At 40.0% G+C, this 23,853-nt stretch overlaps 2 pseudogenes, besides 1 other annotated feature; one reads left to right on the forward strand and one right to left on the reverse strand.

Annotated features, from left to right (window-relative positions):
- Positions 6,499 to 6,882, forward strand: RPS20P6 (ribosomal protein S20 pseudogene 6; annotated as a pseudogene).
- Positions 9,582 to 10,781: an enhancer, noted in NCBI's record as "P300/CBP strongly-dependent group 1 enhancer chr1:101724915-101726114 (GRCh37/hg19 assembly coordinates)". NCBI's record gives its function as "activates an origin of replication core promoter dependent on BRD2, BRD4, P300/CBP, MED14 and CDK7 cofactors, with strong dependence on P300/CBP, by STARR-seq in HCT116 cells {active_cell/tissue: HCT116}" and the evidence as "EXISTENCE:reporter gene assay evidence [ECO:0000049][PMID:35650434]".
- On the reverse strand, positions 20,888 to 21,633 carry PPIAP7 (peptidylprolyl isomerase A pseudogene 7; annotated as a pseudogene).

The raw sequence follows: 23,853 nt of genomic DNA on the forward strand, positions 1-23,853 counted from the left end.
TGTCACTAGTTAGCTGCCAGTAGTTAGCTGCTCTGAACACTTAGGATACCTAAATATACATCGGATTTTTCATCAATCTTTTGTTTGTCTTCTCCAAAAAGGAATCAATTAATGAACTAGTTCTGCCCCCAAAGTAACAGTTTAGAATAAATGTATTAATTCAATGCAATGTTCAACATTGTTTGAAAAATCTAAAGTATTTTTATAATTTTATTTTTTTCTTTTCCTTTTTTACCTTTCACACACTTGAATCTAAACATTTTTACTTGAAGAATGGACAGTTATTTTTCTTTGTGTTTTAAAATACAACATGTACCAGGAAAGGGAGATGGAAGTAAAAATAAATAAATAAAATACAACACGCTCTTCAGATAGGTGGCTTTTGGAAAGCAATCTATGATTTTCTAATTCTCTAGGGCTCAGAGTCTCTTGTAAAACACAGTTCTTTCTATATAATTTTTGCTAATGGATAGAAAAACTTGTGGGGTATTTGGAGGAATTAAATAAACATTGAAGATATAAAAGCACACAAGGGATGACTTTTATTGTAAAGTCATGCTGTCATCAAATGGTGTGATTTCTTCCCTGGTGAGGGCAGTTTTCAGTCTACCACACCTGCCTCTGGTCATGTCACGGTTGAGTTCTGGCACTGCCAGCTGATGTTACCGGTGGTTTGCTGAATTTTGACTTATATGGAATTAAATGTCTGTGTTACCATAGTAAGTTCACATTAGTCTTTGCATTTCATTATCAAGAATGCACTGGTAACTGGCAGGAAACTTCTATTTGAAGCATAGTAATCGGAACATTTTCTTATTGTTAAAGTACTTTTGCTTCTTCCCTACTTTCATTTAAATCTATCTAAAGGAAAAAAGAGGATTTTGTCTTCCATACAAAAGAAGTTTTAGACATTGGGGCTTACTATAGTTTCTCTGTGTTATAAACGATCTCCATTCTTTATGTCACTCCATGAACTTTTATTTAATTTGGAGGAAATCCATAGTATTCACTCTATATCAGAGGCTGTGACATCCTGGCTAAAGCTATTGAAGTTGGCAGCATCATTTCCTCTTCCCGAATTCCTTTTTTGGTTAAGTTTAAGAAGGAGCACAAATTGAGGGTGCAACTTTGTTTCCCGTAGTTTTGAACTGGCAGGGTGTCCCTGGGATTTGTGGCTGCCTACTTGAACAATCCCTTAGGACAGACACCATTCACATTTCATGGCTCTCACTAGGAATCATTAACAGCTCAGTGCAGAGTTTTGCTTTTCACTTAACTTGTAAGATAATGAAGAGACCCTGCCAAGGTTCAGAAAAGGATAACAAAGCATAAGCCCCTTAATGGGATGAACTAACGTAAAAGTCTAAGTATCTGGAGCTCTTTCCCACAAGTAGGACCTGACTCAGGGACTGGCATTCAGGCTGACAACCACCATATACAAGAAACTGTAATAGAAACGAAAGTAATTTCCCTAAAATGAGCCAAGTTATGGGCTTTGGGAAAATAAGGATCTGTTAGCTTTGCTAAGATCAGGATCTTTGATTTACAGTGCTTTCCATGAAACGGTATATTTTTATTGAAGAGAATCATAGGATCTAGAAAGCATTGACTTTAAGTGAAGCACTATTTGAATTCAGCTTTAAGTAGACTGAAATAGCTCTTTATATGATTGAAATGTCTCCATATAATTGTTTGTTAATTAACATATCTCATAAAATGGCATTTTATATACCATGCATGGCAAAGCAGTTGACAAGCAATTGTAATATTAAAACAGAACTTCTGGCCTGGCCCTGATCTCTTTGTTAGAGTGTTGTAATGATCTTCAGCCTGTTTGCCACAGCACTGAGCTAGCCAGTGTACCTCTATCATTTGGTTTTCAGGAGTCCCTAGGATAGATCTCAGCTTCAAGACTAGGTGAGGGTAGCCACTTAAATCCTGAGGCCATTGCATCATCTAGGCAGTTGAGGAGACTTGAGAAGCTTTCCTGGTATACTCAGATGTAGTTTTTCTTGTCTGCTTAGATATTCAGATATTCTGAATCAGTGATTGCTCTCAAATACCTGCAGGAACCAGGCAGAGGACTTACTGGAGTCAAGTGGCCTGGGGAGAAACTGATGAGCTTGAGAGTGAATGTCCATCTCAGTGGAGAAGTCTTTATCCCACTCCAGCTCTTTGTTGCTAGCTGAGATGTTGGCCCAGTGTTGTCAGTGTTCCAAAGCGTGCGGAACATATGGGCTTTGATGTATAATCTCCCAATTTTTAAATGATGCTAATTTGATTAAAAACAATTCCTATACAGGCAAAATATGACACAATGGTATCCACACCTGACCCCAGGGCTCCTCTTTGGCATCTAATATAAATTGAAACAACTGAGCTCTCAGAGCTGAGCTTATTCACCTGAAGGTCCACTATGGGTACTAAGTCAATTCCCCACTGGAGCAGTTTCTGTCTGGTGGCCTGGAGTGTGACAAGCATGGGTGGAGATGGGGAACAGGCTAGCTCAGGTTTTAGGACTATGGGGAGATGTCTTAGTTGGCATATCTGATCATCTGCGGCTACTTCATATCTGGCTGAAACATCTTCAGCTCCTGATTTCCATTGTATGGTGAATGGAATGTATGGTGATGGGCACAGAAACAGTGGCATCTCAACCTTCCTTTTTTTGTTTTTGAGACGGAGTCTGGCTCTGTCGCCCAGGCTGGAGTGCAGTGGCGCTATCTCGGCTCACTGCAAGCTCCGCCTCCCGGGTTCACGCCGTTCTCCTGCCTCAGCCTCCCGAGTAGCTGGGACTACAGGTGCCCGCCACCATGCCTGGCTAATTTTTTCGTATTTTTAGTAGAGACGGGGTTTCACCGTGTTAGCCAGAATAGTCTCCATCTCCTGACCTCGTGATCCACCCGCCTTGGCCTCCCAACATTTCAACCTTTCTAAAAGGTGACATCTTGTACACTGTAGTAGCATAATGGGAAATTCAGACAGGCACATCATATGCTACATACCAGACCCTTTCCAAATGCTGGTTCCATCTTCATCTTCCCATTCTAAAATTTCTTCAAAAATTAAAAGCTTCAGGTGGGTGCAGTGGCATGTGCTTGTAATCCTGGTTACTCTAGAGGATCACTTGAGGCCAGGAGTTTGAGAGTTTGGTAGAGACCTTGTCTCTACCAAAAAAAAAAAAAAAAAAAAAAAAAATTAGCCAGGCGTGGTAGTTCCAGCTACTCAGGAGGTCAAAGCGGGAAGATTCATTTGAGCCCAGAAGTTTGAGGCTTCAGTGAGCTATGATTGAGCCACTGCACTCTAGCCTGAGCAACAGAGCAAGATCCTGTCTTGAAAAAAAAAAAAAAAAAGCTTAGATGACATAGTGAGACCCCCCCCACCCAGCGGGGTATCTATTTAATGTATATATATATGTGTATATATATATATATATATATATATATATATATATATAAGCTTATATATATATATAAGCTTATATATATATATATAAGCTTATATATATATAGAAAGCTTATATATATATAGAAAGCTTATATATATAAGAAGCTTATATATAAAAGCTTATGTATAAATATATATAAATATATTTATTTATGCTTATAGATACATATATAAATATATTTATTTATATTTATATATAAACATATATTTATATATATTTATATAATATTTATTTATTATATAAATAAATATATAATAAATAATAAATATATATAATATATTTATTGTATTATTTATATAAATTTATTAATATAATATATAATAAAATAATAATTATATAAATATATAAATATCTATAAATATATATAAATATATATAATATCTATAAATATATATAAATATAAATATATATAATATCTATAAATATAGATAAATATAAATATATATAATATCTATAAATATAGATAAATATAAATATATATAACTATATATAAATATATATAACTATATATAAATATATATATAAATATATATAACTATATATATAACTATATATATAAATATATATAACTATATATATAAATATATATATAAATATATATAACTATATATATAAATATATATAACTATATATAAATATATATATAAATATATATAACTATATATATAAATATATATATAAATATATTTTAAAAAAGCTTATATATATAAAAGATTATATGTATATATAAAAGCTTATAAATGTATTGGCAAGTCTGACTTTCGTCCTTTTCAATTAGCTATACACAACAATACTGTGAAGTGTGTATTACTATCAGTGCCCAGAGGATGCAGCGCATCTGAGGCAAATGGGAGGTTAACGAATTCCCCACATAACGAGTCACCAGTGAAGTTGGCTTTGCTTTTCCATTACACAGTAAAGCCTGGAAAACTTCCTCAGGCTTCCCCAGATTTATGATCATAGACTCACTGAGTTGGAAGGAACCTTAGAGATTAACCTGCCCAACTGTCTCATTTCAGAGATAAGTGACTCGCTCTTGACTCCTACTCGTTTCTCTTGTCCTTGTCTAGTTTGAAATCATAGTTGTGCTAGTAAGGCAATGTTGAAAAGTGAAAGGTTTGTGTTGCTGGTTTTATTGTATTCTTACGTCTCCAGATTTATTTCTCCTAGATCCAGCCAGATTGTCTTTAGACCCTTAGGCTACTGGCCCTTGCTAACTTTTATAAACTGAGATAAATGGAATGCAAGTCTTTGAAATTACAATGATTTTGCTTCTGCAGCAGTGTGAATGTCTGTTGAATTTAGGGGGAGTGGCAGATCCAAGCAGAAGGGCGTAGCAAATGTTAATGAAAATGGTGGTGTTTGACCAAATACAACCCACCAGAGGATAAAATCACAGGCTATAATTTCAGTAGACGGTGGAGTTTTGTGTGGTCGGTAACGTCACTGGAAACCCAAGAAAGAACTTATTTTGCGCAATTTGGCCCATGTTGTTGTTTATTTTGATTACACCAAGCTCAAGGGCTCTTTTGACATTAAAAATGCTTATTTCAGCTAAAGTCCAGATTAGGGTTACAATTTCCCTTTTAAAAATTTCTTTTCCTTTTTCTGGGATTGCACTGTGGTCTCCTACACACTTCTTTCTACTTTCCTGTGATTTCTTTCTAGCCAGAAAATTATTAGCATTTCCACATAGATATATAACAAATGCTGTAATATCAGTGCTGCCTTCGTGGTGTGATGCACAAGAAGAATCATGGAGTTTTTTGTTGTTGTTGTTGTTGTTGTTGTTGTTGTTGTTGTTTTTGAGACCGGGTCTGGCTCTGTCACCCAGGCTGGAGTGCAGTAGTGTGATCTTGGCTCACTGCAACTCTGCCTCCTGGGCTGAAGCGATCTTCCCATCTCAGTCTCCCAGGTAGCTGGGGCTTAGTGGGCACCACCATGCCCCGCTAATTTTTTTTTTTTTTTTGTAGCGATGTGGTCTTGCCATGTTGTCCATGCTGGTCTTGAAATTTTGAGCTCAAATGATCTGCCTGTCTCCCAAAGTGCTAGGATTACAAGTGTGAGCCACAGCACCCAGCCAGGAAGAATCGTTTTTGCAGTGGGACTCTGGTCACCCAACGAACATCAGGATCTTTCTTGTAATATAAAGCAGAATGGAGAAATATCAATGGAATTTCTAGTATATGAAGATTTTTCCCTGCATACGAGGAAATATATTAAGTCAGAGTAGTCAGTTTGGCCTGTGTTTGAATTCTGTCTCTACCGCACACTAGGTATGTGGCCCTGGAGAAGTTATTCAACCTAGCTGAAATGCAGTTCATTTCTTTGTAAAATAGTGATAGGCTGGCTTGGTGGCTCACACCTGTAATCCTAGCACTTTGGGAGGCCGAGGCGGGCAGATCCCTTAAGGTCAGGAGTTCGAGACCAGCCTGGCCAACATGGTGAAACTCTGTCTCTACTAAAAATACAAAAAATTAGTCGGGTGTGGTGGCATATGCCTGTAATCCCAGCTATTTGGGAGGCTGAGGCAGGAGAATAGCTTGAACCTGGGAGGCAGAGGTTGCAGTGAGCCGTGATCACGCCACTGCACTCCAGCCTGGGTGATAGAGTGAGACTCAGTCTCAAAAAAAAAAAAAAAAAAAGAATCGCTGATCTGCCAGCTCCTGCTCCTGACTCACCACTGTTCGCTCTTGTGAGGAACAGTTGGTCAGGAAGCCGCGCAGCAGCCATGGCTTTTAAGAATACCGGGCACTTTGGGAGGCCGAGGTGGACGGATCACAAGGTCAGGAGATCGAGACCATCCTGGCTAACACGGTGAAACCCCGTCTCTACTAAAAAAAAAAAAAAAAAAAAAAAAAAAAAAAAAAAAAAAATTAGCCGGGCATGGTGTGGCAGGTTCTTGTAGTCCCAGCTACGCAGGAGGCTGAGGCAGGAGAATGGCGTGAACCCGGGGGGCGGAGCTCGCAGTGAGCCGAGATCACGCCACTGCATTCCAGCCTGGGGGACAGAGCGAGACTCCATCTCAAAAAAAAAAAAAAAAAAAAAAAAAGAATTCCGGAAACACACTCGTGGAGCCAGAGGTGGCAATTCACCGAATTCGAATCACTGTAACAAGCCGCAAAGTAAAATCCCTGGAGAAGGTGTGTGCTGACTTGATCAGAGGAGCAAAGGAAAAGAATCTCAAAGTGAAAGGACCAGTTCGAATGCCTACCAAGACTTTGAGAATCACTACAAGAAAAACCCCTTGTGAATGTTCTAAGACATGGGATTGTTTCGGGATGAGAATCCACAAGCGACTTATTGACTGGCACAGTCCTTCTGAGATTGTTAAGCAGGTTACTTCCATCAGTATTGAGCCAGGAGTTGAGGTGGAAGGCACCATTGCAGATGCTTAAGTAAGCCATTTTAATAAATTGATTACAAGTTGTTAAAAAAATAAAATAATGATAATAACTAACTTCAAAGACTGTTGTGTGATTTAAATAGGATTATATTTGGCCAGGTGCAGTGGCTCATGCCTGTAATCCCAGCACTTTGGGAGGCCTAGGCAGGCGACTCATGAGGTCAGGAGATCGAGACCATCCTGGCTAACACGGTGAAACCCCATCTCTACTAAAAAAAAACCAAAAAATTAGCCGGGTATGGTGGCATGCGCCTGTAGTCCCAGCTACTTGGGAGGCTGAGGCAGGAGAATTGCTTGAACCTGGGAGGTGGAGGTTGCAGTTTGCTGAGATCGCACCACTGCACTCCAGCCTGGGTGACAGAGTGAGACTCTGTCTCAATAAATAAATAAATAAATAGAATTATATTTTTTAATGTCTGGCCCAAGATAGATGATAGTCAACAAATGTTCATTTACTCATTCATTTAACGCATATTTATGAAGCATCTACTATGCTCCATGTACTGCCATTAGAGCAGTGAGCAAAATAGACAAAACCCTTGCCACGATCAGTTCCCTCTCTTCTTTTTCCTACTTTACACTGACCCTCCCCACTAAAGCCAGGCCGCATTAGATGAATATTCCTGCTTTTTCAAAGAATTCATTCCGTTGGAAGTTCTGCTAGTCAACAACTATGTTTTGTGCTCAGATTCTCTTTTTGCATGAGATCAAAAAAAGAATGTATGATGAAATTGCAAAATTTGACCTACATTGCAACTTGGATGTGCAGAAAAATGAATTTATTTAGTCTATCCTATTCCGTCTTCCCTCACAGACATTTACGTTCTAGTTAGAAGGGGGAATAACGTTAACTAAATGACTGGTTTAAAATGTAGTCCCAGTCAGTAATTTAATCCATTTGAATGCTTGTTCTGCCTCCTTTGGATAAAAATGGTGAGGCTAAAACCAAACAATACAAAAACAAAAAAAAGCTGAGGCTAGGCCAGGCATGGTGGCTCATGCCTGAAATCCCAGCACTCTGGGAGGCCAAGATGGGCAGATGGCTTGAGCTCAGGAATTGGAGACCAGCCTGGGCAGCATGGCAAAACTCCATCACTACAAAAAACACAAAAATGAGCTGGGAGTGGTGGTGTGAACTTGTAGTCCCAGCTACTTGTGGGGACTGAGGCAGGAGGATAGCTTGAATCCGGGAGGTCGAGGTTGCAGTGAACCTAGATTGTACCACTGCACTCCAACCTGGGTGGCAAAGTGAAACTCTGTCTGAAAAAAAAAAAAAAAATTACTGAGGCTCTCAGGCTCTTCCTCTTCTGCTTGCCTAGAGTCCTGGGGAAGGGCTGAGGTCTATGCAACCTCATGTTGGTGGGGAGGAGGTGGTGTCCTCAGCCACAGTTCCCTGCTTGCCTTGGCTCTCCTCCAGCCAATTATCTCCTTCTCATTTGGTACTGCTTGCCCTGGGGTGATTGCTTGAGTGGGTGTGACCTGTGGTTGGTCTCACTGGGTCTGGTTAAAGTCCTGTTGTGTGCTCTGGCTGACCTGCCCTCATTTCAGTTTCCCCTGGTGCTAGAGATCCCTTTGAAGTTTGGTTGGCCTTTCATCCAGCCCTGGCTTTACCTGCCTCTGATAAGCAGAGAGGCTTGCTCTTTCTGAGTCCTCTCTACCTCGCTCTGACTGACCATGTCTGACCTACCTAGGGGTGGGCTTGGTCCCTAGGTTTGTATGGGAGCATGCCACACACAGAGCCCCCTCTTTTGAGTTCATGAGGAGTCTTTTTAATAGTGGCCCCCACTCTGCCTTTGGAGTTAACTTTGCTTCCCTTGTGCCCCTTTCCCTACCTGGGCCAAACTCAGAAGAGCTGGGGGAGGGGAGATTAGGACAACCTTCACCAGTTCATTTCCCTCTCTCTCTGCTTTCCACAGTTCTCCACACTAACAAAGGGCTAGTCTGTCTGTCTTTCTTTCTTTCTTTCTTTCTTTCTTTCTTTCTTTCTTTCTTTCTTTCTTTCTTTCTTTCTTTTTCTTTCTTTCTTTCTTTCTTTCTATTCTATCTTCTTCCTGACTCTTCCTAGCTTAATCTTAATGACAAGCAGGTTACCTTCTTTTTATTTTTGTTTTTAAACCACATTGATCTGAAATCTCCATGCTTGGTTGTTAAAATACTAATGCCTCACAAGGGAGTTCAGCAAATCCCTTTTCAAGAGGCTTGTATAAACCTACTTTCTGAAAGACAGAAGCAGAATGTTACTCATTCTCTTGTTCTTCTTCTATAATAAATTCAGACTCTCCATCTGGGCAAGTCATTGGCTAGGGCAGACTAATGTGAAGGTTTCTACTCAAGGAGGCAAAAAAAATGCATTTTAATATTCAAAATTTTACTTGTTACAGAAGCATGGCTGGTGCCTTAAGGAACTCATTGTTTATTAGCTTTATGGTTCTCTGACTATCCAGGTGACTGGACTGCACCCAGGTGTTGGCGGCCCTGGAACTTGTCTGTCTGTCTGTTGATTTGGAATTGACAGTGGTTGCAGACCTTTAAGTCAAACCTTTCCTCTTGATCCCAATGTGCCCTTCGCTTTCTCTAAAAGGTTCTCCCTTCCTCTTATTTTTCCTTATCCTCTTCTCCATCTTTGCTGTCAGATCTCTCTCTCTCTTTCTTTATCCTGCACTTGCAGTTTGCTCCCACACTGGACACACATACAGGCATACGCATACACACGAAAACATACATCATCACCTCCTCTTTGTTCGTATATGTACATTTACAGTCCCCTGTGGCTTTAGCTCTTTTTCCAGGATTTTCTCTTTCATCCATTTATTATATATGTGAATATTGATTCTTTACTATGATGATAATCATTGCTGTAATTTATTGAACACCTGTTATATACTAGTGATGAGAAAGGTCCTTTTATATTGCCTCTTTCATTTAATCCTTAGAATCACCATTGTGTGTAGCAAGAAACCGAGGCTCAAGGAAGTTTTTAAAAACTGTGTTCAAGGATACAGAACTAGTAATTGGCAGAACAGGGACTTGAATCTAGGTTTCATTGGCCCTAAAGACCATTCCACAAAAGAAAATCATTATGAACAGAAATGTAGGTTTTTGAGTAAAGATTTTATGTAAATTGAATTATCCTATAATAACCTTGAACATGAAATTCAAAACTTAGTTTATGATGACTGGTCTAAAAGCTATCACTTTGAAGGGAAGAATGGGGAACTCCTTTTCAGAGATGATTAATGCTTGATGCAATTCTATTAGAAGTGCTGACTAATGGTCTGATGACTACTTATTTTGATCTTGGTGTTGGTAAAGAGAACTTTACATGCCAGGAAATGGAAAAAAAAATACAGATTTTAACCACTTAAAATTGCTAACAGTGAAGGTCTCCATATTATTTTGGTTCCAGCTTCTTTTTTTTCCCCCTAGGCTAATTTCACCACTTCCTCCTCCATTCTTGAGTTTTAAAAATGTCTTTTGAGAGACAGAGTCTTGCTGTGTTGGCTAGGCAGGTCTCAAACTCCTGGCTCCAGTGATCCTCCAGCATCAGCCTCCCAAAGCACTGGGATTACAGGCATGAGCTATGCCTGGCCTCTGTTTTGTTCTTGCAGGCTAAATTATTTTCCCCTGTTCTGTTTAGATTATTCTTAATTTAAAATATCATATTTAATTTTCCATTTTAAAGCATCTGCTACCATCTATCCTTATTTTCTCCCTTTTCTTGTTCATATTTTTTCTCTGTCTCTGGCTTTGTTTTGTGCATTCTTGCTCATAGTGCTCTGCCCCATTAGGTTACCGAAAATAAAATGTACTGGAATTCTAATCTCTAAAATCCTGGCCATCACAACTAGGATTCTTTGGAGTTTGCTTTCAACTTCTGTGCAAGGATGGACAATTCATTCATCAGTCACAGTTGTGCCATTGTGGCATTTGGAGGTGGTGTACAGAGCCCTGCTGTTTTTTTTTTATTCTCTGAGGTTTTGCTAAATGATAATGGGTGGGTCAAGGAAAAACCTGATTAAGCACTCACTAAAGAAAAAAAAATGTGAGTGACTGAGTGTGTGGGCATGAACATGTATGTGTGTTTTCCTGTGTGTGTATGGTGGGGGGTATCTTCGAGAATGTAGAGAGATGAATTCTCCCTAAAGAATGTATAGGTATTTGATATGAAGTACTCCTCAGCATCCTCTGGAATCAAAGTGAACTTTCTCTCAGATTAAAATGATGATTCAGAGTGGTTATGGGGCTGGCATTTTAAGAATTAGAGAGGAGAAAGGAATAAAAGAAGGAGTGTCTTCAAAGAATTATATAAACTAAACTAAAGCTTATTTAATCTCTTTCATCTCACACTGACATATCCTTCTTCCTTGTGATTTCCTTGATTGGTTTGTCTCTAAGGGAAAATGAAGAGGATTCTTTTAGAGCTTCCTATCTCATAATAAAGAAAGATTTCACAGGTTCCTGTTTCAGAGGATGGGGATACATCCTTTTATCTTAAAAGAGAACAATGTTAGTTCCTAGAGTTTCTATCATTTTGAAATAGAGTTTTTTTTTTTTTTTTTTTTTTTTTTTTTGCCCTTGTGCTGCTGTGACTTTCAGGAAACTTTTCACTGGTGATATCAGAGGCACTTTGAAGAAATGATCCTTGCTAATCCATTTGATTAGTGTGCAATACTGCAGCTATTGATGGGCATAAGGTATTAATAATAATCAATTTCTATATGTCATATTTATTAACTGTTAAATTTTAAGAAATTGTTTGTATAAACATAGGGATATCCTTGACTCACATAGCCTCTGTATCTCTGTACATGTCATTTGACTCATGGGTCCCATGAAGAACAACGTGTGCAGGTGATCCTTAAGCGTTTAAAGCAATCACGATATCAGCCTGAGGTGACAGGCGGTGGTGCACAGATCTCAGATGGTGGCTGAGACTATTCACTCTCAAGATCCACCAAGCAGAAAAGTGAGATGTCCAGGCAAATCTGCTTCTGGTCCTTTCCCCAAGTATTCTGCTTTATACTCTTTGGAAGAAATACCATTTCCCCCTGCCACAGTTGCCTAGAAAAAGAAAAAAAAAGAGAAAAGGAAAAAGAATGCAGTGAATATGCCGACCTTTGTAGACAAAGAAGCGGTCACCAACCCACTTGGAAAAGGACGTGCATTCTGAGTCATTTTTCTAGTTGTGATCAAGGCCTAGCTTTAACCATTGTGCCTCCCATTCCTGAGGTCCAGCCCTGCCCTTGGTCAATAATGGCCCTTTGGATTAAAATAGAGGAAAATCAACTAACTGGTGGAGGTAATTGGATCCAAATAACTGCAGGGAAAATCAGTAATCAGGAACAGGGATGCGGAGCAGATAAAAAAGCTAGGAAATAAAAGACAACAATTTAGTTTCTGATTGAGTCTTCTTGTACTTTTACTTTTTTTTCTTTTTAATTCAAATTAGGGTCTTATTTTAAGAGTTTAAGTAGCTTTCAGAAAGAAAAGTTTAGAATTATTAAAAAAAAGTTTAGAATTAAAAAGAGTATTCTTTTCCTGTTACGTAAAACAAGCGTAACTAGTTGTTCAGGAAAATACTCCCTAGGAAACTATGGCGAAATAGCACAATATCCAAAAGATCAGCCAATAGGGTAGTCAGAAAGCCTCCTTGACGAATCAGGAAACATGATAATAGTGGGTTTCTGTCCCTTTTTTGTTCACCTGGATTACTCTTTTTAAAACATCACCTTTAGGGATGTGTTGCCAGCCCTCTTCCTTCAGCTGTGATCTCCAAAGGAAACAGGGAGGTTTAATAGGAACTGTGGGATGCCAACATTCAGATCATTTTCAACTTCAAGAGAGGGAAATCAGGACAAAGATTTCCAACAATTTTAACAATATGCCTGTTATTGTCAGCAGGCTTAAAAACGAATCATATGGTTTTCAGAGTTTAGCAGGCAGGCTAACTCCCTAAGAAGAAACTCAGTTTATAGAAGACAAAGGGTAGGGTTAAAAAAAAAAAGCAGTTATTCGGTTGTCGGGTAACTTCCTGATTGGAATAAGATAGACAAGTTGTGAAAACATACTTGGTTCCTCTGAGCACACTTTTACAATCTCTCTTGGGCTCAGACTTGATAAGAGAGAAAAGGTGAAGTTTTATTTCTTGTACACAGAGACGTTGTAGAGTGGAAAACGAGACCATTAAGAGTGTGGAGGAGGCATTTATTGCCTTCTTTCTGACAGCAAGCAGTCACAGGATGGAACTGCTTCTGGCATTCAAGCAGTTAAGAGACTTCTGAGGTCAAAGCCACAAACCCTGAAGTAATGGGAAGCCATGCATATGCTCTCTGAAGCCCGGGAGCTTCTTTTAGAAGAGAACAGGAATTAGATTAAGCTAATGTTGCTGAACACATGAAATTTGTTGTTAGCAAATTACGGAGCTCAGGAAATTATCAGCTTCTACAGGGCATTCCAAACTTAGCCCCAAAACCATGGCAAGTGTTAAAGAGCAGAGAAAAGCTTCAGTCAGGCTAGAGCAAAGAACTCCCAAACCTCATGTCTGATACAATTATAGGCTGCAAATGGGGAGGAGGAACCATGGAATCTGCATGTAAATGGCAAAGTCTACCAGCAACCTGATATTGGCTCTAAAATTAACTTTTATTTACATAAGCAATGCATATAGAAAAATGAATAACTACTGCTAAAATCTAAAAAATGTAACCTTCATTTTCAATATCCAGAGTTAACATTATAACTGGCACATAATAATCACTTAAGAGATGTTAGCCATTTAAAAGTGTATATTTGTATATATATGTATATCTGTTTTTGTTTGTTTGTTTGTTTGTTTTGAGACAGAATCTCGATCTGTTGCCAGGCTGGAGTGCAGTGGTGTGATCTCAGCTCACTGAAACCTCCGCCTCCCAGGTTCAAGCGATTCTCCTGCCTCAGCCTCCCAAGTAGCTGGGACTACAGGTGTGCGCCACCACACCCAGCTAATTTTTGTATTTTTAGTAGAGAGAGGTTTCACCATGTTGGCCAGGATGTTCTTGATCTCCTGACCTCAAGTGATCCACTCACCTTGGCCTCCCAAAGTGCTGGGATTACAGGTGTGGGCCACCGTGCCAGGCCCTCTTTTGTTTTTTTTTTTTTGAGAGGCAGGGTCTCTCTCTGTTGCCCAGGCTGGAGTGTGGTGGCACAATCATAGCTCATAGCAATCTTGAACTCCTGGGTTCAAATGATCTTCCTGCCTCAGTCTCCTGAGTAGCTGGGGCTACAGGTGCATGCCACCAAGACTGAATACTTTTTAAATTTTTTGTAGAGAAGGGATCTTGCTATGTTACCCAGGCTGGTCACAAACTCCTAGCCTCAAGCTATCCTCCCCCCTCAGCCTCCTAAAGTGTTGGGATTACAGGTGTAAACCACCACACCCAGCCTATATCCACTTAAAAAATCTACTTTCCTTGCTGAGCAATATATTGGGAATATTTTTTCATGTCAAGAAATGTATCTTGTGTCTGGGTACTGTGGTTCACACCTATAATCCCAGCACTTTAGGAGGCCAATGCAAGAGAATTACTTGAGGCCAGGGGTTCAATACCAGCCTGGGCAACACAGTAAGATCGTGTCTCTAATTAAAAAAAAAAAGATAAAAAAGAAAAAAATTAGCCTGAATGGTAGTCCCAGGTACATAGGAGGCTGAGGCAGGAGGCTGTCTTGAGCGTAGGAAGCCTAGGCTGCAGTAAGCCATGTTCACACCATTGTACTCCAGCCTGGGTGACAGAGCAAGACCCTTTCTCAAGAAACAAACAGAAAACAAAAAAGAAATATATTTTGCTTTATTTTCTTTGTTTTACCACTAATATCTGTATGCTTTTATGACATAAGACAGAATATTGACTATCTTTGCTCTATCTGTAAATCAACAGACCTCATCTATAAATTCAGTGAAATCTCCTCTAGTGGGGAAGGAGATCATAAAAACAACAGAGCCTTAAAGGGCAAACAAAATATTGCAGAGATTGAATGTGCATGTATTTATAGGAATATATGCACAGATATGAATGAAAGAAATGACCATCCATTTTGAGCCTAGAAAAGGGAGATGAGCCCCTCCCTTCCTTACCATACACCCTGCCCCCTCTCTCCAGATGCGCTCTTGCTGGATGGGTCATTCCAGGATTTCCTGATTATAATGAGGAAGCACAGCTGATCACGCCAGTAAGTTCAGATTGAGATCTCATCACCTTTTGACCTTCAGCCCCACCCTTTGTTTACCAGTCTGAAAGCTGGCACACATGACTGTAAATGGAAGTAAAAAGAAAGAAGGCAAAAAACTGAAGTGACATGTGCCAAGTGGCTGTCAGCTCTTCAGAGCCACACCTTGTTTCTCTCTTCCTGTGTAATGATGAGAACCAGAGCCTTGAGCCATCATAGTTTAGGATGGAGACAGATCTGCAATGCATAAAACAGAGCCTACCCAAGACTACTATATTTCTTTGAGAAAATAAAAGGCATCAGTTGGGAATTTCTTCATTCTCCACCATCAAATCAACAATCTTGCCTGCATCTCTCCCCATCTTCTTTTGTCATAGTTTTGTGCTTACCAAAGGCTATCCTCTCCAATTCTGTCCTGGGACTGAGTTGTTCTATCAACCAAATATTGTCCCTATTTCTTCTCTTATTTTTTCTCCACCATCATTCGTCTCTTTCCCCAACTACAAACACACTCTAATAGATACCAAATTAAGAAGCAAGCATAAATAAACAAAAAGACCTAGAATCCTCTGTAAACCCTTATTTCCCTTCAGCTACCACCTCCCCCCATTTTTATGTTCCCTTGTACAGTAAAACTAAAAAAGTTGTATAAATATGTATGCTGTCTTCACTGCCTGAACTCCATTTCATCCTTCAACACACTGTAATCTGGCTTCTGTGTATTGCATTTGCTAAAATAATTTTTGCTCAAAATTACCAGTGGACTTCATATTGACAAAACAATGGACATGTTTTTTGTCTTTTATTTGTTAGCCCTTCAGTATTATTCCACTTGGTAGATAATTCTATCTTTTCTGACTTCAGTTACACTTTGTTCTCCTGGATTTTCTCCTAGCATGCTGATTGCTCTTTCTCCATCTCTTTTTGCCAGCTGTCCTCTAACTGACTTCTACTGGTTTGGTTTGATTTAGGGCTAGGTTCTGGATGCTCTTCTCTTTACTCTCCATATTTTCTCCCTAATGATCTCATCCGTATTCATGGCATGAGTTAGTGTCTATATGCTGCTGATTCCTGTTATGGAGATTGTGGTACACCACCCAGAGACTCCCTCTAAGACTAAGGCATTCATTTTCCCAACTGTTGAGAGTATTGACTGTTGGCAGCTCACAAGGATTCCCTCCTTGAGCATTGTCCTCGGTTTAAGATTATATATCCCTTTTTCTTTTTCTACTTCTCTCTTTCTTTCCTTTTTTTTTTTTTTTTAAACAGGGTCTCACTCTTTTTTAGACAGGGTCACCCAGGCTGGAGTGCAGCGGTGCCATCTCAGCTCTGTGCAAACTCTGCCTCCAGGGTTCGACTGATTCTGGTGCCTCAGCCTTTTGAGTAGCTGGGACTACAGGCATGTGTCACCATGCCCAGATTATTTTTGTATTTTTAGTAGAGATGGGGTTTCACCATGTTGGCCAGGCTGGTCTCGAACTCCTGGCCTTAAATGATCTCTGCTCTCTTCAGCCTCCTGATGTTCTGGGATTACAGGCATGAGCCACGGCAACCGGCTTTATATCCCTTTTTGATGGGCAGCCTGCATTCAATGCTGGTTGAAGCAAGAGTACAAACTCTGGTACAAAGAGTACAAGAGTTCAGGACAACTCTGAAGGGTCATGCCAGTTCCAGAGCTCCCTGGATTTGCTGAGGACTCTGTTACAACTGCATCACACTTCAACTTCTCCCTCCGCCCAATCATGCTTTTTTACTCTCTTACAGACATTGTTTCTAAGGACATTCCTGTAGTAGATACTGTGATCCATTGCCCAAATGTCCCTTCAGGAACAAGGAGTTAATAGCTATGGTGCTGGGAATCTTGGGCAAACATATTCAGAGATAAGGCCTCTTCAGGGCAGCTAACACCTAATGACTGATCCAGTAGGGGTACAAAGGCACCACTCTCTCACCTCAACTTGGGATAGCACTGAAGGATCATCTTAATTCAGAAGTCCCTGCCCCAAAAAAAGGACACATTGTCTAATTTGATTCATCTCCAGAGACACAGTGTCATCATGGTCCTCCTTCTGCCCCCGTGAGATTGGAGTTTGATGAGGCCAGGTAACAAATAAATGCCTGTGTAAATTCTAGCTACGGTGGGTCCATAGACACCCCCAGTGATCCTTTCTCAAATCTCTAAGTGCATAACTAGGATTGACATACTGGCAGTCAGAGGAACCCCACTTTGTATCATTGACCTGTGGGGAAGGCCATATCATAGTGGAGAAGGCCAAGTGGAAACCTCTTGAAACCGTCCATACACCCCTTCCCCCAGCCAAGGCAGCAAATGGAGAAAAATTGCACCCTGGAGTAGAGGAATAGCAGAGATTAATGCTACTATTAAAGATCTAAAAATGCAGGGATGGTGGTCACTACTCACTCTCATATCCTCATTTAGCAGCACCAGTCTGGATCCTGCAGAAACTGGGTGATTCTGGAGAATAACAGCAGAAAACCACAGCTCAAACAAGTGATAGCCCCAGTTGTAGCTACTGTGCTGGATGTGGTTTTATTGCTAGATAAATGAGATAAAATAGGTTAATGAGATTTCAGGTACGTGGTGTGTGGTCATTGATTTGGGAAATGGATTCTTTTCTATTCCAATTAGAAAGAAGATTAGAGATAATTTGCATTCATGTGATGTGAGTAATATTCAACTGCAGCTTTGATCCAGGGCTATGCTGACCCTCTTCCTTTTACCACAATATAATCTGAAGATATTTGGATCTTCTTGAAATTTCGCTACAAGTCATATTGATTCATTCCATCAATGACATTATGCCGACTGGATAATACTCTAGAAGACTTCATAAGACACTTGCAAGATAAACACTATGAAGATTTATTGACCTCTCACTTTGATGTAGTTTGTATGGATCTAGTAGTCTGGGGAACATTGGACTATCCCCTTCAAATTAAGAGGCACATCTTGCATCCCTTATCACAAAGAAGGAAGCTCAGTGTGTGACAGGCATCTTTCATTTGTGGGTGTATAAGATAACACACTATACACCTAGAAGTACCACTAGCTTTGAGTGAGGCCCAGAGCAGGAAAAAGCTGTCCACTAAAGCAAGGCTGTGGTGCAAGCAGTTCTGTCATTCGGGCCCATGACTGACCCCAAATTTGCTGGAAATGTCAGAGGTGGGACTTACCAAATCACAAATTAGAGCAGGCCCAGCTGCTGTTCATCATAATAGTTTTTCCGAGGTTAAGCCCAAGTATGACCAGAGGGCATGAGTATACAGTACATCACTCTCCGTAGTTGCACAAGTGTTTATTTCCCAGCTTACACCTATGGCCACATAAGGGGTCTCATACGACCAGCTGATAGAGGAGGAAAAAGCATGATCTTGGTTTGTCAATGATTGGTCTCAGTATGTGTGTGCAAGCTGACTATAAACAGTGACTGTATTATAGGTACAATCCGAGTTGGCCTTGAAAGTGGAGAGTGAAATTTCCAATGGGCAGACCTGTTGTAAGTATACTGAGTCATCCACTTTTTGTGAAAGAAGTCGCCTGAAACAAAAATATATGAAAAATCCTAGATAGTGGAAAATGGCCTAACTGTCTGTTAAGGGGGCTGGAAGGAAAAGGACTAGAAGACTGAAGACAAGGAAGTCTCAGGTAGATATATGGAGGCAGAGGAAATATGAAAGTGGGCATAAAGTGTAAAGATTTTTGTATCACACGTTAACCCTCACTTGCACACATCCACCAGCAAAGAGGCACTGAGCAACCAATTATTTAACATTATTTGGACAGTTGATGTTAGCTAGTCTTTGTCATTGGCCACCCTGCAACCAGCACAAGAAATGCTATAGTGGCAGATATGGAAGCTACGTATAGGTCAACAGCATGGACTTTTTACCAGGTTCGATATAGCTATTGCCTCTTTTGAATATTCAAACTTTCAGTGGCGTAGACCAATGTGCCTACCACTAATATGGCAATATATGGCACTGATCCTCCAGGAAGACAACCCGTAACTTGGTGGCAAGTCAGCTACTTTGGGCCCCTTCTATCCAAGTAGTTGATTTGCCACCAAATCAACTATTAAATTCTGGAACGGTCAGAATTTCATTCTCACAGAGATAAATACTGGTTCCAGGAATGCAAAATCTCAGCTAGTACCACTCTCTAGGGGGCTTACAGAATTACTGACATCTAGGCCTGGACTCTCACAAACACAGCATTTGAGCAGGGAACCCACTTCAAAGAAGGAGGCACAGGAGTGAGCCCATGAATATGTTTTTTTCTCTCATACCGCATCATCCAGAAGTAGCTGATCTCATAGACCCAGATAGTTTCAATGATGAATTCTATCAAATATTTAAGGTAGAAATAGTATAAATTTTTTTTTTTTTTTTTTTTTTTTTTAGTGGAGATGACTTCTCACTCTGTTGCCCAGGCTGGAGTGCAGTGGCACTGATCATAGCTCACTGCAGCCTCAAACTCCTGAGCTTAAGGGATCCCCCGTCTCAGCCTCCTAAGTACCTGGTACTATAGACGTGTGCTACCACACCATGCTAACTTTTTAAAAATTATTATTATTATTATTTTGGAGACAGAGTCTTGCTCTGTTGCCCAGGTTGGGATGCAGTGGTGAGATCTCGGCTCACTTCAACCCCGCCTACCGGGTTCAAGCAATTCTCATGCCTCAGCCTCCCAAGTAGTTGAGATTACACATGTGCACCACCATGCCTCACTAATTTTTTTGTGTGTATTTTTGTATTTGTAGATATGGGGTTTTGCCATGTTGGCCAGGCTGGTCTTGAACTCCTGGCCTCAAGTGATCACCTGCCTTGGCCTCCCAAAGTGCTGGGATTACAGGTGTAAGCCACCACACCCAGCCTTAAAAAATATTTTGTATAGACAGGGTCTCACTATGTTCCTCAGGCTGGTCTCAAACTCATGATCTCAAGTGATCCTCCCACCTCAGCCTCCCAAAGTGCTGGTATTATAGGTGTGAGCCACCATGCCCAGCTGAAATAATACAAATCTAACACAAACTTTTTTCTTTCTTTTGAGACAGGTTATTGCTTTGTTGCCCAGGCTGGAGTGCAGTGGCACAATCATAGCTCGCTGCACCCTCAAACTCCTGGGCTCAAGGAATCCTTCCACCTCAGCCTCTTGAGTAGCTGGGACTACAGGTGCATGCCACCATGTCTGGCTAATTTTCAAATTTTTTTGTAGGGACAGTCTGCCTGTGTTGACCAGGCTGGTCTCAAGCTCCCGGACTCAAGTGATCCTCCTGCCTCAGACTCCCTCAGACTGGGATTACAGGCATGAGCCACCATGCCCAGCCTGCAAACTTCTTAAAAAATATATGAGAAGGGAACTGCCCCAAATTTCCTTCACAAGGCCAGAATTATATTGACATCAAAGCCTGTCAAATAAATTTTAAAAACAGATAATAAAACAAAGAAATAAAAAATTACAGATGAGTATTCCTCATGAACACAGATGCAAAAATTCTGTACAAAACATTAGTACATCAAATTGAGCAATGCCTAAAACGGATAATATATTATTACCAAGTAGAGCTTATCTTAGGAATGCAAGCTTAGTTCAAGGTCTTCTTCAAACCAATCAATGAAACTCACACATCAAGGAGAAAAAGAGAAAACTATGATAGTTATATTCAATATATGCAGAAAAAGCATTTGACAAAATAAAACATCAATTCATGATTAGAAACCTTCACTAAAGGAAGAATAGAATAGAAAGAAAATGCTTTAATTTCATAAAGGGCATCTATGAGAAACTTACAGATAATGTTATGCTCTTTATTGTTATGTAGTTTTTATTTCATAGTTATAAACTTAACTCTGCAATCCAGCTAGGCATAGAAAGGGAATAAGGAAAAGAGAGAACACAAAGGGAACTGCAATGAGAGTACAAAGATTATAGGATACTGAAGCATATGGGGTGGAGGGGTGCTCTCCTGAGCTACAGAAGGATTGGTCTGGTGGTTAAGTTAAAACACAAGTCAAGCTTATTAGAGTTGCCCACAGTCAGCAATGATAATCTTCTTGTTGGTCTTGCCATTCCTGGACCCAGAGCGGTCCATGGCCTCCACAATATTCATGCCTTCTTTCACCTTGCCAAAGACCACATGCTTGCCATCCAACCACTCAGTCTTGGCAGTGCAGATGAAAAACTGAGAACCGTTTGAGTTGGGTCTAGCATTTGCTATGGACAAGATGCCAGGACCTGTATGCTTCAGAATGAAGTTCTCATCATCAAATTTCTCCCCGTAGATGAACTTGCCATCAGTGCCATTATGGCATGGGAAGTCACCACCCTGACACATAAACTCTGAAATAATTCTGTGAAAGCAGGAACCCTTATAACCAAATCCTTTCTCTACAGTGCTCAGAGCATGAAAGTTTTCGTTGTTTTTGGAAATTTGTCTGCAAACAGCTTGAAAAAGATGAGGCCCAAGGACTGGCTGTTGATGGCGATGTCAAAGAACACAGTGGAATTGACCATGGTGGGTAGTACTGGGCTCCCGGTGGTGGTGGTGTCTGCAAAGCTAACATTATACTTATTGATGAAATATTGAATGTAAACTGGGCACAGTGGCTAATACTTGTAAACTCAACACTTTGGGAGGCCAACACAGGAGGATCCCTTAAGGCCAGGGATTCAAGACCAGCCTGGGCAACATGCGGAGACTCCTATCTCTACAAAAAAATGCAAAAATTAGCTAAGTGTGGTGACATATGCCTGTAGTCCAAGCTACTCAGGAGGCTGAGGCAGGAGGATCACTTGAGCCTAGGAGTTTGATGTTACAATGAGATATGACTGTGCCACTACACTCCAGCCTGGGCAACAGAGCAAGATCCTGTCTTAAGAAATAATGATAATAAAGAAATATTAAATTCTTTCACTGTAAGTCTTGAAACAATGCAAGAAAGTTTGTGTTTATTACTTATTATTTTACACTGCACTGGAGACACTAGCCAATAACATATGGCAAGAAAAAGAAATAAAATACATGTGATTGCAAAGGGAGAAATGAAACTGTATTTACTTGGAGACAACATGATTTGTTACCTTAAAAAAACTTGTTTATAAAAACCTACAAAGTCTATGTGAATAGTTAGATTGTAGGATACAAGGTCAAAATACACAAATTAACCCTATTTCTTTTTTTGAAATTTTATATATATATATATATTTTTATTATACTTTAAGTTCTAGGGTACATGTGCACAACGTGCAGGTTTGTTACATGTGTATACATGTGCCATGTTGGTGTCCTGCACCCATTAATTCGTCATTTACATTAGGTATATCTCCTAATGTTATCCCTCCCCCCTCCCCCCTACCCCACAAAAGGCCCCAGTGTGTGATGTTTCCCTTCATGTGTCCAAGTGTTCTCATTGTTCAATTCCCACCTGTGAGTGAGAACATGTGGTGTTTGGTTTTTTGTCCTTGCGATAGTTTGCTGAGAATGATGGTTTCCAGCTTCATCCATGTCCCTACAAAGGACATGAACTCATCATTTTTTATGGCTGCATAGTATTCCATGGTGTATATGTGCCACGTTTTCTTAATCCAGTCTATCATTGCTGAACATTTAGGTTGGTTCCAAGCCTTTGCTATTGTGAATAGTGCTGCAATAAACATATGTGTGCATGTGTCTTTACAGCAGCATGATTTATAATCCTTTGGGTATATACCCAGTAATGGGATGGCTGGGTCAAATGGTATTTCTAGTTCTAGATCGCTGAGGAATCGCCACACTGTCTTCCACAATGGTTGAACTAGTTTACAGTCCCACCAACAGTGTAAAGTGTTCCTATTTCTCCACATCCTCTCCAGCACCTGTTGTTTCCTGACTTTTTAATGATCGCCATTCTAACTGGTGTGAGATGGTATCTCATTGTGGTTTTGATTTGCATTTCTCTGATGGCGAGTGATGATGAGCATTTTTTCATGTGTCTGTTGGCTGCATAAATGTCTTCTTTTGAGGAGTGTCTGTTCATATCTTTCACCCACTTGTTGATGGGGTTGTTTGTTTTTTTCTTGTAAATTTGTTTGAGTTCTTTGTAGATTCTAGATATTAGCCCTTTGTCAGATGAATAGATTGCAAAAATTTTCTCCCATTCTGTAGGTTGCCTGTTCACTCTGATAGTAGTTTCTTTTGCTGTGCAGAAGCTCTTTAGTTTAATTAGATCCCATTTGTCAATTTTGGCTTTTGTTGCCATTGCTTTTGGTGTTTTAGACATGAAGTCCTTGCTCATGCCTATGTCCTGAATGGTATTGCCTAGGTTTTCTTCTAGGGGGTTTATGGTTTTAGGTCTAACATTTAAGTCTTTAATCCATCTTGAATTAATTTTTATATAAGGTGTAAGGAAAGGATCCAGTTTCAGCTTTCTACATATAGCTAGCCAGTTTTCCCAGCACCATTTATTAAATAGGGAACCCTTTCCCCATTTCTTGTTTTTGTCAGGTTTGTCAAAGATCAGATGGTTGTAGATGTGTGGTATTATTTCTGAGGGCTCTGTTCTGTTCTGTTGGTCTATATCTCTGTTTTGGCACCAGTACCATGCTGTTTTGGTTACTGTAGCCTTGTAGTATATCAGGTAGCGTGATGCCTCCAGCTTTGTTCTTTTGGCTTAGGATTGACTTGGCGATGCGGGCTCTTTTTTGGTTCCATATGAACTTTAAAGTGGTTTTTTCCAATTCTGTGAAGAAAGTCATTGGTAGCTTGGTGGGGATGGCATTGAATCTATAAATTACCTT

This window comes from Homo sapiens, chromosome 1 (genome assembly GCF_000001405.40).
Source record: "Homo sapiens chromosome 1, GRCh38.p14 Primary Assembly".
In the NCBI taxonomy this organism is placed as follows: Eukaryota; Metazoa; Chordata; class Mammalia; order Primates; family Hominidae; genus Homo; species Homo sapiens.